The sequence below is a fragment of the Homo sapiens genome, chromosome 11 (genome assembly GCF_000001405.40).
Source record: "Homo sapiens chromosome 11, GRCh38.p14 Primary Assembly".
Classification (NCBI taxonomy): Eukaryota; Metazoa; Chordata; class Mammalia; order Primates; family Hominidae; genus Homo; species Homo sapiens.
The window spans coordinates 130,817,266-130,830,472 of NC_000011.10; the positions used below are offsets into that span (position 1 = coordinate 130,817,266).

General features: G+C 47.4%; 2 annotated features.

Annotated features, from left to right (window-relative positions):
- Positions 8,804-9,383: an enhancer, noted in NCBI's record as "H3K27ac-H3K4me1 hESC enhancer chr11:130695964-130696543 (GRCh37/hg19 assembly coordinates)". NCBI's record gives its function as "activates a minimal SCP1, AML or CMV promoter by ChIP-STARR-seq in naive H9 embryonic stem cells {active_cell/tissue: H9 hESC(naive)}" and the evidence as "EXISTENCE:reporter gene assay evidence [ECO:0000049][PMID:30033119]".
- Positions 9,384-9,962: an enhancer, noted in NCBI's record as "H3K27ac-H3K4me1 hESC enhancer chr11:130696544-130697122 (GRCh37/hg19 assembly coordinates)". NCBI's record gives its function as "activates a minimal SCP1, AML or CMV promoter by ChIP-STARR-seq in naive H9 embryonic stem cells {active_cell/tissue: H9 hESC(naive)}" and the evidence as "EXISTENCE:reporter gene assay evidence [ECO:0000049][PMID:30033119]".

A 13,207-nucleotide genomic window follows, 5' to 3' on the forward strand; every position in this document is an offset into this window, starting at 1 on the left:
AGTCTGGACAGGAGGAGTGGAAGGTCACTATGGCAGCAGTCAGTTTCACTCCCATCGCAAGCACCTGGGTTTCCCATGAACAGCCCTGATCAAGTGCTGAGTGGGCCAGATCCTGCTGAGGCTGAGAAAATATGAATTCTGGATTCAAAACATTAACACAACTCATTGGCAACAGGCAGTGGCTAGAACAGAGATGAATAATTACACCACCTCCCTAGAAGAACCCTCTTATTTTTACAGGAAAGAAAGCTCTGTGTGCTGAAGCAGAGGAATGGAGAAATGTTGTCCACATAAAAAAAAATGCTCCCCAAACATGTGACATTACCCCAAGGGCTCTGAACAGAGGCACAGAACATCAAACACAGAAAAACAAAAACCTCTTGGCTCTATAGACATAGTGGATGCTTGCTCTACATTTGAAAAAAAAAATGTATCTGTGGTCAGCAACATCTGAGTGCTGTTGGATGAGGTAACCCTGGGGTTGCCATGGACACATATTTCCTAGTGGTGCCTGCATCATGAAACTGCATGAAGTTGCTTCTCATCTGCAGCTGAATGCCTCAATATTGAGGGAAGAGAGTCATTTGCAAACCAAGACATACCACAAAAGAGAACAAACCTGTTGCAACAGGGAGACTCTCCAAGCCCTTTCCATCAACAGATTTCAAAGATCAGTTTGGACCCAAGGAGACTGATGTGGGGACAGCAGTAGTTTCTGAGCATGCAGCAAAGGTGAGACAGAGGCAGAGTAGAATCAAATATGCATGAAACAGGCATGCAAGTCTCCACCATGCTAGCAGCCCACATCCAAAGAGGCATCTGTTTTGAGCACCCCTCTTTTGACGTGGAAGCTGGCCCCTATGCTCTGTCTTGCATTTTGTATTCACAAAAGAGGAAACATTTCTATAGCCACAATGGACTAGAAAACACTTAAAAAATCCACATCCTTGTCAACACTTAATATTTTCCATTTTCTTAAATCATAGCCATCCCAGTAGGTATAAAGAGGAATCTCAGGCCAGGTGCGGTGGCTCATGCCTGTAATCCCAGCACTTTGGGAGGCCGAGGCGGGCGGATCATGATGTCAAGAGATCCAGAACATCCTGGCCAACATGGTGAAACCCTGTCTACTAAAAATACAAAAAATTAGCTGGACTTGGTGGTGCGCGTCTGTAGTCCCAGCTACTTGGGAGACTGAGGCAGGAGAATCACTTGAACCCGGGAGGTGGAGGTTGCAGTGAGCCGAGATCACACCACTGCACTCCAGTCTGGCGACAGACCAAGACGCCATCTCAAAAAAAAAAAAAAAAAAAAAAAAAAAAAAGAAGAATGTCATTGTGGCTTTTATTTGCATTTTTCTAATGGCCAATTATGTTGAACATTTTTATGTGTTGATTGCCATTTATACATTTTCTTTGAGGAAATGTCTACTCAAGTCCTTCTCACATTCTTTAATTGGGTTGTTTCTTTTTATGTTGTTGAGTTAGTTCTTTATATATCCCTGAATATTAGACACTTACCAGATATATGATTTCCAAATATTTTCTCTCATCCCACAAGTTGTCTTTCATTTTCTTAATAATGTCCTTTAATGCACAAAAGTCTTACATTTTGATGAAATCCGATTTACTTTTTTTTCACTTGTTGCTCGTGTTTTGTTGGCATATCTAAGAATCCATTGCCAAATCCAAGGTTATTAAAATTTACCCCTATGTTTTTTTTTAAGGGTTCATGGTTTTTACTCTTTTAAAAAAATTCAACTTTTATTTTAGATACAGGGGGTGCATGTGCAGGTTTGTTACATGGGTATATTGTACCCAGGTAGTGAGCATAGTAGTAATAGGTAGCATTACCCCTCGGCTATCTTGCCTCTGCGGGTTTTCTCTCCATGTATGGGAAATCTGCCACATGTCCCAGCCCTAGCCATCTTTCAAGCCCCTTCCTTTCTGTAAAGCTTTCTCTGATCCTGACATATTGAAAAAAAAAAAAAAAAAAAAAAAAAAAAAAAAAAAAAAAAAGAAGGCTATACCTATACATCTTTCTCATTCCTCTGAGGTCTCTTTGCATGTGACATTGCATCTCTCCCCACCAAAACATAGACTCTATTTCTCTATGCTTTGAATCTCGGGCTTGACCATGTGGCTTGTTTTGGCCAATGGCCGATATTGTTACATGGGTATATTGTACCCAGGTAGTGAGCAATAGGTAGCTTTAGAAAATACTGTTGAGGGTAAGACTCGACTGCATTCATGGGGCCTGAATTCTGCTGAAGTATATTTCATAAGAAATCAGGCTGTGGTGCCTAACTCATACATATGCAAGTGGTGATAGGACGCTGCTGCGTGGGTGTTTCTCACAAGGAGCAATGTCGAGGGGATCCAAGACAGGCGCATGAACGTTTCTAGATGAAACTCAGGACACTGCCAGTCCCAGTGGCTTTCTCTCTAAGGATGAACTCATACCCAGGGAAGACTGGAATCAGCCTTCAACAAGTGGTGCCTTGTGGTTGATGTGTCTGCTTCCAATAAGGCAAGTTTTACAGTCTGTCAGTGGGCTGACTGCAGAGTTATAAATGTTGATCTCATAAAAAAGAAACATGAGTGGTTGACACATCACATTGTATCTGTGTCGTTCTGTGCTCTGGCAGCTAGACCAGCTCTCACTTACAGCAACGGAGGCGACATAAAAGCAGAATAATCAGATTTTAATTATAATGGGGATTTCTCCATCCCATGGGGCTCTGGAGGGCAGGACTATTGTGTGACTTCTGGTTTCCAGGGAAATATATTTTCCTGTGCCACTGCTGAGATGCACTTTGTAAATGCTCCCCAAAGAAATACTGCAGAATGGGATGGCTTCTGGCTTTTAATAACCAGAGTGAGAACTGATAAAATATTTGAAAGAAATGATAACTGAAGAAATACATAGACTTCAAAATAACACTTTTAAGCTCTCAAGACTTTACCAAATCAAAGCATTTGTCTGCAAATATGATGGCTTCAGTCTCCACTTTATGGTATGTCTAATTGCTAGAAGAGGTAGAGAAAGAACAGCTCATCTTAAGAACAACTCCTCCCCTGAATGCCCACTACATTTGAGGCTCTGCCTCACTTTGCTTCCTGGCAAGATATACTTCCATCCATGGTCTCCCTGTCCTTTTCAAGACTTTATTCCAGCCATTGTTCTACCCAGGGATGCAAGGGAGAGAATCTCCCATCTCTGATGCGGGGAACTCTACATAACCTGATGAAGGGGACAGAACCATTCATCACCTGGTGCAGGAGACAGGACTGTCCATCATCTGAAACAGGGACAGAATCACCCTTCACATGAAATGCAACACAATCATCCACCACTAGATGCAGAGGACAGAACCACCTATCAATCACCTGATGCAGGGGGCAGAATCACCAATCATCTGATGCAGGGGGCAGACCCATCTATCACCTGATGCAGGGACAAGGCCATTCAAAACCTGAGGAGAAAGAGAATTACCCTTAAATCTCAGCCTGGATGGGGAAATCCTTAGGATCTGAGGCTGCTCCAGGGACCTATCTTCTCTCTGTGTCTGCTTCTCTCTTTTCATCTGCTCCTTCTCTGCTCTCTGCCAGCTGACCTCCTCACCCTCAGCTCCCACATGTCCAGTTTGAACAGGGTTTTGGATGCCCTGTTTGTCACTGAACCTCAATGTGCCCTTCACCTTCACCTCTGCTGTTCATGCCTCCATCTCCCAGATTCCTCTTCCCAGCTTATCTCTCTCAGCTCAGCTTTTCAGGACAGGCCATAGTAGGTCTTTGGAAGCCTGTAGACTGGCTACCGTAGGTCCTTTGACTGTTGAGTCAGTGGTGGTGGCACTGCAGAAACAGGAGGAAACAGGCACAGCTGCAGGTGGAGCATGTTCTCTTGGGAGGGCTGTGCCCCTAAAGTGGAGGTCAACCTCTTAGAAGGCCATTGGAGACCATCCAAGTTCTTAAAGACAACACTCCATCTCCTCCATGATTGTGTTCCAACTTACTTTCCCAACCTTCCACTAGCCCAGAGGAAGCATTTGCTGGGCCTTGCAAACCCCTCAGCTATCTTGCCTCTGCGGGCTTTCTCTCCATGTATGGGAAATCTGTCACATGTCCCAGCTCTAGCCATCTTTCAAGCCCCTTCCTTTCTGTAAAGCTTTCTCTGATCATGACTTACTGAAAAAAAAAAAGAAAGAAAAAAAAAGAAGGCTATACCTATACATTTTTCTCATTCCTCTGAGGTCTCTTTGCATGTGATATGGCATCTCTCCCCACCAAAAGGTAGACTCTATTTTTCTATGTTTTGAATCTTGGGCTTGACCATGTGGCTTGTTTTGGCCAATGGACATTAGCAAAGGGGACACAGGGAGGAGCTTAAAAGAGTATGCTCAGGGCTTTCTCTCTCTCTTGCTGGTAGAAACCTTTCATGAGAGGAAACTAGACTAGACTTCTGGAGAATAAGAGGCCATATACAGAGAGGTCACATCTTTCCCAGTCATCCTAAACATGTGAATGAGACCATGCTCAGTCATCCAGCTCTACTGAGCCAACCCTGAGCAGAACTGCCCAGCCCACTGCAGAACTGTGAGAAGTAATAAGTATGTATTGTTTTAAGCCACTAAATCTTGGAGTGGTCTGTTATGTGGCAAAAACAAACTGATGTGCCATCCCTCCCCATTTCCCATGCTGGAATCTCTCTCCCTTCTGGAACCCCATAGTATTTATCAGTATCTTTCATTAAGTATCTGTCGCCTTCTACATTTTCTCATGATTGTCTGTGGAAATACTTAACATGTATGGGAGAATAAACTACTTGAGGGCTGAGTGCATTCTCAATTCATTTTTTTATTTCTTCCAAGCTCTAGTCTTGTAGCATCTGATTGATCCCTGACACAAAGCAAGCCCTAAAATGTATATGCAGGAATGAGAAGCAATGTGGAACAGTGATTTAGAACACCAGTGTTGGAATATCTGAGTTAAAATCCCAGTTCTGCTACTTACTAACTGTGTCTTCTTGGGCAAATTATTAAACCATTTTATTTCGCCGCAGTTTCCTCATCTCTAAAAACGGCATAATACTGCAACCTACATCATGAATTACTGTGAGGATTACTTGAGTTGATGTAAGTTGTTAAATATCAATAAATGACAGGCACCTAGTGCTGCATCTGGCCCACCCAGCATGACGAGGCCACACCATGGTCCTCTCGGTTCTCTACAGCCACCAAATGTCATCTTGTCTCTCATCTACTGAGTGACAGGATCTACTGGCAACCCACTGATCCGATAATCCAGCATGAAGAGAGATGGCTGGACTCTCCCCAGGCTCTTCTCCCTCTATGGAGCAGAGGGGTATCTATTTAAAAGGGAGCCTTCAGGAGGTAGGTGGTAAATGCAGGCCTTTCAAGACTTTAGGACAAGCTGCAGGTGCCTGCTCTATCTTGCATGACTCCAGTGATACTGGGAAGATTATGGTATCTCTCTCCATCTCCATTCCTTCCTCTATAAAATAGGGGTAACTATATCTGCCTCACAGGATTGGCACGGGGCATAACTGTGCACGGCTCAATTAAGAACAGCCTTTACTACTAGTTTTCCTCCCCTCTTATCTCAGACACTTGCATCTCCACTGCAATGGTCCTGGCTATGTGGTCTTGCCTGAAGGAGACCTTAATTAACACTGGATATCTGCCAAAGGCCCCATTATAAATTCACCTAAATTTAGGACTGTCTGGAAATACCTTCATCTCCTGTGACCTTAGTTTTGACTTCCACCTCCATATATGGTGGCCATTTGCACAGCTGTAAAACAGGGCTGTGGCACATGACCACGTCTCCTCCATCCTTGGCTTGCCACAAGCTGCAGACCTGCACTGAATGTCAATCAGAACATGAAAGAGGGTGGTGCTGGAGAACACGGCTGCAGCAGACTCGATTTAACCTTCTAAACATCTTCCGAACTCTTCATTGCTATGGCTACCACTGTAGTCCAAGCTCCTATCATGTCTTATCCAAACAGCTGCCACTGCCTCCATCTCACCCTAAGACACATTCGGAAAGCAGAGCCTACAACAAAGGCTTCTGTGCTCGTTGCTTACTGAGGAGCAGCCCCAGGAATCAGAAGTGAGGGGTAGGCAGAGTGGAAAAAGAGGGATGGACAATACTGGGTGTGTAAGTGAGGTTACTGGTTGGGCACATAGAGCCTACCTGGAACCTTCTGAGCCTTCACCATCCCCTGCACCTTGTTGAGGGTTGCTCCTGGAAGCATGAACTCCCCTCACTTCCAGATTGTGCCTATGCATGGGCCAACAGAGCTCATGCAACTGGAAGCTCTGGGGAAGAAAGCACTTGAGGTTGGGGTTGTTAGTGTGAGGTGGGGTGAAGCAAACGTGGAAGTTTCCCCCCTGGCTGCAGCTGGACTCAAAGGTGAGACTGAGTGGGCATGGGCCAGGCACTGCTTGCTCCTTGCTTTTCTCTGCCCTGGAGCTACGGTGACTGTTTTTTCAAAATGTAAAATGTATCTGTTACATATGCTTTCTCAACTGTCAGGATACAATCCTAACATGGCCTGGGAGACCCTGAACCAGCTTTTGCCCAGCTCTGCCCACCACTCTTGCCTCTTCTCCTCCCACCACTACCTCACTGTCTGCAATTGGGCCACGCTGCCTGCTCATCATTTCAACAAAAGTGCTGTTTCTACACTGACCACAGGGCCTCTGCACATGCAACGCCCTCTTTCACTAGCGAAGCCCTATTTGTTCTTCACTTTTCAGCTCAGGCATCACTTCCACAGAGAAGTCTTTCTAACTCCATCTCTAGGATGGGCCAAGATCCCTTGTGAGCCTCTTTGAGAATCTTCCTTTACACACAAGGAACTGGTGTCCGCAGCTCCTCCCCTTACCTGGGGTGAGGTTGGGGGCAACAGAAGAAGGGAAAACGACTCACTTCTCAGCGCACGCCTCCGGGATCCGTGGCCACTTATACTATGTTCTTGTGTTGCCAACTGAAAATATCAAGTGATTAAAAATTAATCGGGCTAATAAGGCAAGTGCCAAAATTGTTAATGGTTATCTGAGCTTTCTGGTGGCTGTATGCATGAAAGACCCTCCTTCTAGATTCCTGCCTTTTCCAGGTTTCCTCTCTTCTTCTGTGTCCTCTCATTGCACAGCTGGCGTCTCCCTTTCCGTGGGACCTGTGCTATTCTCTTCCTGAGACTAGCTGGGTCCAGGAAAACATATCTTCCTGGTTCTTTGAGTGCATGTCACCCTTTGTCCAAGCCTTGGGCTCCACCACTCCTTAAAGGCTTGGAGGAGAGAGCCTGCAGTAAGCAGTGTCGGGAGGAGACAACTCGCAGGAACCTCTCAAGGAAGCAGATGTAGATGTTTCAGCCACCTGGTTTAAGCAGATCACAAAACTTAGGCAATAAATTTGACTTTAAAGCCCTCTGTCAACTACGACCAAAAAAAAAAAAGATTCCGGGGAAGTTTTCTGATTTGGAGAAATTACATCCAGGAGTGTCTGTTGCGTAGGTTTGGGAGAAGTTGCCAATTTAAAACCTTTCTTTCAAAAGATTCAGCCTGTCCCCGCAATCACTTGGTTTTTTTCTTCCTTGCTCATTCCTGGTTTTAAGCTCTTCCCCCTGGAGACACCCCACTCCATTTTTTTTGTCTCCCTCATTCTCTTCTGTCTTGGTGCACCCCGTCTCTTCCCTCTTCCATTCCCCTCCTCTGTGTTCCTCCTCCTTTTCTTCTTTCCATTCTCTGTCCTCCCCACCTTCCTTAATGCTCTCCTCTCTCTTCATCTTCATCTTCTCACACACCTCCCACAGGGTTCCCATTCCAGGGGCTTCTGACAACTTGAAAGACTCTAGAGAACAAAAGAGAACTCAGCTGTCACTAAATATTCCTCCCCGCTCCCCCACCAGTCCCTTCCCCCAAGGGCTTCGGAGTAGTTCAGGCCCCAGCTCTCTCTCTTTCTGTAAATGAGCCTCTGCCACATTTTCCTTATAAATAAGAGCCATTCAGAGCAGTTTTCTCTTGAGCTGCCTGGGGGATGGGAAGTGTCCATCCCATCTGCATCCCGCAGCCCACCATGCCGTGCTGTCAGACACCGTCCAGCCACTACACCTGAAGCCCAAAGGCAACCCATGGTTCCTGCCCAGCAAGCCCAGGGTGAGTGTGGCATCTCCCACTGCCCTGGCACCCAGCTTCAGCAGCCCTGCCCACCAAGGCTCATGGAGCCTTGGCCAGGGAAATCTGCCTCAGGCTTGGTCAGTGTTTTAGGCAGAGAAGTCACTCCTGAATGCAGTTTAAATGTCTTTGGCAGCAACAGAACACGAAGGTCTTTTAAAGCAAGTCGTCCGCTATCTGTCAGAACAGGGGAGCCAGTTAAGATTTTATTACAGTTTATCTCCAGAGGTGGGGGTGGCGAGGGAGGGCTCAGGAGTTATTTTCCATGTGTGAGATAGACTAAGTCCTGAGGCTTGCTAAGTTTATAGATCACCAGTTGCCAGAGTTCCTTTTGCTTTTTACCCTGGAGGGGAAAAATAAAAAATTAAAACATCCACTTACAGATCAATTGCATCGTCTGCTGCTCAACAACATATGGGCCTAGGGCAGGAGGCTGTGAGCCAGGCCTCATTACTAAAGATCCCTGCAAAAATGGGTGCAACCCAGACAGCCTCTCCCTCCAAACCCCTGACCCAGGGATTGCTGTCCATGCAGCTGGAACAATGAGCACTTGTGGGGGTCCTCCCCCCATCAGTCTAGGGCCAAAGGATATCAGCTAGGGCCCCGAAAGCAATACGAGGTCTTCTACCACGTTTTTATTTTTCTTGCTTGGCTTTCTTTGAAATTTACATCCCAGAAGAATATCCTGGAACTTTTATAGATGAGGGAGTTCCTTGGGAGAGATGGAAAGGGGAGGAAGAGGAAATGGGAAGAGATTGGCGTGGGTGCAAGGAGGAGGAGGTAATGATCATTTAAAGGAGAAACGGAGGATGGAAGTGGGGTGGCGTGCAGAGCTGTGGTGGAACTCAGCCTCGGAGCTGGGCTTGGCGGGGTTGGAGAGGCCCTGGGCTGCAAGCAGGGGATCCTGTGCCTTTGAGGTACAGACTTTGAATCCACAGAAGTGTGTGTGTATCGCCCCACTTGATCCCAGCTTGCTTTCCTTCATCCCTTTATTCATTCATCTGAAAGTCCTCATGGGAATTTGTTTTGTGACTGTTACTGGGGACACAGCAGTGTACAAGACAGGCACGTTTCTTCTTCTCTTGGAGCTTTCGACTTGGTATCAGCCCATTTGCCTCTGTGAGGAGAGACAGTCGAAGCACCCATGAGTCGTTCTACTCTCAGAATCCAGCTCTGCCCGTGGTCTGACGAAGGCTGAGCCCCAGAGCTGCCACGTGGAGAGGCTGCTTGTCCACAGGCACAACTCCTGCAGGGCACAGCAGAAAGCGAGGAGGCATGCTGCTGGAGAAGGCCTAGCAGCAGTAACCGCCACCCTGCCAAACCTGGCCTAACATGGAAAAGACCCAGGCAGCCAACGGCCTCCTGAATTAGGTTGTTTGACAAAGCAATGAATGTAGCCTGGAGAGAAGCAGGCTGGAACTGCAGGGCATGCTACAGCTATCTTCAAAGATCTGAAGGAGGTCATAGAGGGGGCATGGTGGAGGTATGTACAGCGGCTCCAGAGGACACAGTTTGCAATGCTTGCTGGAAGTTATAGAAAAAGGAATTTGGGCTTACTGTAAGAAAAAATTACATGAAACATAGTAATGAGCTCCCTGTTCTTGGAGGCAGACAAGCAGTGTCTGCACCAACCTGCTAGTTAGTGATGGCACAGAAGAGGTGGCTGCACTGTATGAAGCTGGGCCTGCACGGTATCCCATGCTCCTTCCAATTTTAATACTTTATGATTCTGTAAAACACCGAGAAACTTTATTTTTAAAGCCACAAACCACTTATTTTTAATTTGGGTGTTCCTTTCCCATATTATTATTATTTTTTGTGGTGTGGGAAAAAATGTTTCCAAGGCCCTTCCCTTCTTTGCTGCCTCTGAAAAGCCAGACCTGGGCACGTTTTCACATGAATATTTTACCCTAGAAACTCCGGGCAAACGGGGTCCAGTGCCTTATACACTGGGAAACTGCACAGCTCTGAGCCCCTGAGAAGTGCGTAGTGTTATCTCCAGTTTATTGTTCATTCTTAGAAGGTACTCTGATGATTATTTAACTATTTTCCTGTCTTGGTTTGAAGAGGCAGGAATTAAATGTCAGTGAGTGTGTGTAACAAGAACTATGTAACCCTGCCCTTTGGGAAGAGTGTGTGGGGGGAAGCTAAAATTACTTAGATCATGTAGGGCTGCGCTTTGAGGTTCTCTGGAGCAAGGCTTGTGATGCCTGGGACAGCAGAGCTGGCAACAGCGGGCCCAGTGCCCTCAAGCCCCTGCTTCCTGCCTGTTTCTCTGGAAGTCAGCTGAGCTTCATGGCCACCCTAGAGCACAGCCTTGGAGCCCCTCTCCGCACACGTGGGTGTGCTGCCTGTCTCGGGTTAGCCATGGCCCATGAAGCTATCTCTGACTCCTGAGCAGCCAGACGTGGGGTGGGGTGGGGTGGCAGGGTGGGAAACCTCCCAGTCACCAACAGTGACCTTGGTGAGGCGCTGGGGGTGAGTCAGATCCTCCTCACAGACTACACACGGCTGCCACCTCCTGGAACTTGCCATAACCCAGGCAACTCTCAGATCCTGGGCCTTCACTTGTGATGTCAGGGATGGGGGCATTGCAAAGGAGGGAGGCGGGGACAATGGCTGGATGTTACCTGCTCTCTACTCTGGAAACCCAAGGCTGGAGGCTGCTGCAGCTCTGGGCGCCCTGGGGGCTTCTGCCAGCCCCGCCTGGCTTCCCTCTTGGAACAGAATGGAATCCTCACAGGTTTATAAAACCAAGCCTGATTTCAGGAAAGGGGGTGTCCTTTGGGGCACCTTTGATTTATCCTGCCATCCTCATCCACATCATGCCCCACAAGAAGCCCTTTCTCTCTGAGCCGAGGTGCTGTCACAAGCTGTTCAGAGGCCCCCATGCCCTAGTACCTCTGAGACAAGCAGTTGCTGTGGCAAAGGAGAGGCACCAAACAAAGACACTGGCCCTCTCTAAAGACTCTTGGTGACTCTAGAGCCAGAAGTCAACAGTGGGATGGACAGATCATCTCCAGCTCCTGTCTTCAAAACGCACCTGTGTTTTAACGGCTCCCCAGGGAAGGAGATCCAGTCACTGGCTAACATTCTGCGATGGTGTCTGATAGCCCTCACCAGCTCCAGAATGTTCCTATCCCTCTTAGGCTTTCTTTTTGTATCTTCATCACTCTGACGTTGGTGCGCTTTCAGGCCCTGTTTGCTGCAACCCTGACTGGAACCTCCACATTTAAGTTCCTAATGAAATCTTCTCTTTGACTTTTGCTCATTTATAAAACTTTGTGCCAGCTCTTGGGGTCCAGAGAAATCAGTTTCTAGACCAAATGCCAAGTGCCATCTCCCAAATCTGCAGGTGAGGGTAGTCACTAAAATGCCAAGTGACCTGTCTGCAAGCCGACAGCTGAGGGTGACCTTGCTGGCTGGGCTAGGCCAAATGGGCTCCGGCGTTCAGTGTGTCTCATTTCTCTGCTATTTGACCTGGTTCACATTTGGCTGCGGGGATTGAGCCCAGGCAGTGGGCCCAACTCAGCGGTGTCCTCTGGCCTCTGCACAAGATCTTTATCATGAAGCTAGGCAAGGGCTGTATAATCCTTTCCGTTACTTCAGGGTAATGGTCGAGGTAGGAAGGAGCTCTGGGTGACCTGCCTGGAAGAACAGGTTGAGGTTTATAAGGTTGATTTCAGTAGGTTTTGGGGTTTAATGGGTAGGGAAAGGAGAGGGGCTGGCTGATGATGGCCAGGCCATAGCACTGAAGTCCAAAGACCCAAGGTATACAGAGGTCAAAGCTTCAGGTTGGGCAGGAAATTTGTGCAGGCCAGCCTGGAGAGCATTCTTAAGTCTTGAGGATGGTACATTCCCCAAGGGCAATGACCACTTCGTAAATGTATTTTCACTCCCTTAGAAAACTCAGCACAGTACTGTCACATAGTATACAGATGATGGTCAAGAGCACTGAGTTCCAAGCCCTGCTCTAGGATTTAGCCTTGTGACTTGGGCGAGTTAATTAAATTATCTTCTCTGTGCCTCAGTGGGCTCGTTTGTTAAATGGAGATAATAATAGTACTTGCCTTACATGACTGTTACAAGGATTAAATGAGAGGATAAGCAATTATAGCAGTGTCTTGCTAATAGTATTAGGCACACAACAGGTAATGATTGAGTGAACGGCTAAAATTCAGATGGAATTATATTGCAGGAGGACTAAATTCCTAGTTTGAGGCTGTTTATCTCCAGTGCTTGATTTCTGGTATTTGTCACCTATTTTATATGCTAGAGAGTTTTATAATTATTTAAATCATGTCACCAAGACAGCCTGGAAGAAACTAGTACATGTATTGAAACCCCTTCCACCTCGAGGCTGGAAGCTGGGGCCAGGCAAGCACTGCCGCCACGTTCGCCACACACGTTTAAGTTCAGGGGCTGAAATGTGCAATTTTTTGCTGTTGATGGAGCTACAGCTGCCTGGACAGACCTAGGCTACACTGTTCAGCCCCGTGCTGCAGCTGGCTCCTCTCATGACCAGAGGCCAACATACATCCCATGGTTTGTTAGGGTCAGGGCAGCCACCTGGGGCCACAGACCAGAATGCTGCTCACTTATCTCCTTGGGGATTTGCATTTAGCCCTTGGCCTTGCTGGCCCTCTGCTCTGGCCACCTGAGAAAGCTGGCACAAGACAACAGGAAATTGGAAGCTATGTCACAGGTCAGGTGTCCAGGGAAAGGCCTGAAGGTGACCACCCTGGGTGTCATGTGGAGGGAAGGGAGGACACCCTGGCAGGAAAGCCTGGACTCAGCTTGGGCTGTAGCCAACCCCTCTCTCTTCAAAGCACCCACCAAAAAAGCTGTAACAGAGCAGAATGGCTGGGCCTCTCTCACCCCTTCCTTTCCCGCACTGAGCTCGCCTGTGCACCGGCCTCAGGACTCGCCTGCCAAGTCCCTTGGCTTCCCTCCGCAGTCTGTGGAATCTGAGCAGGATGATCCCTGGCCCAGCTGTTAGGAATCATT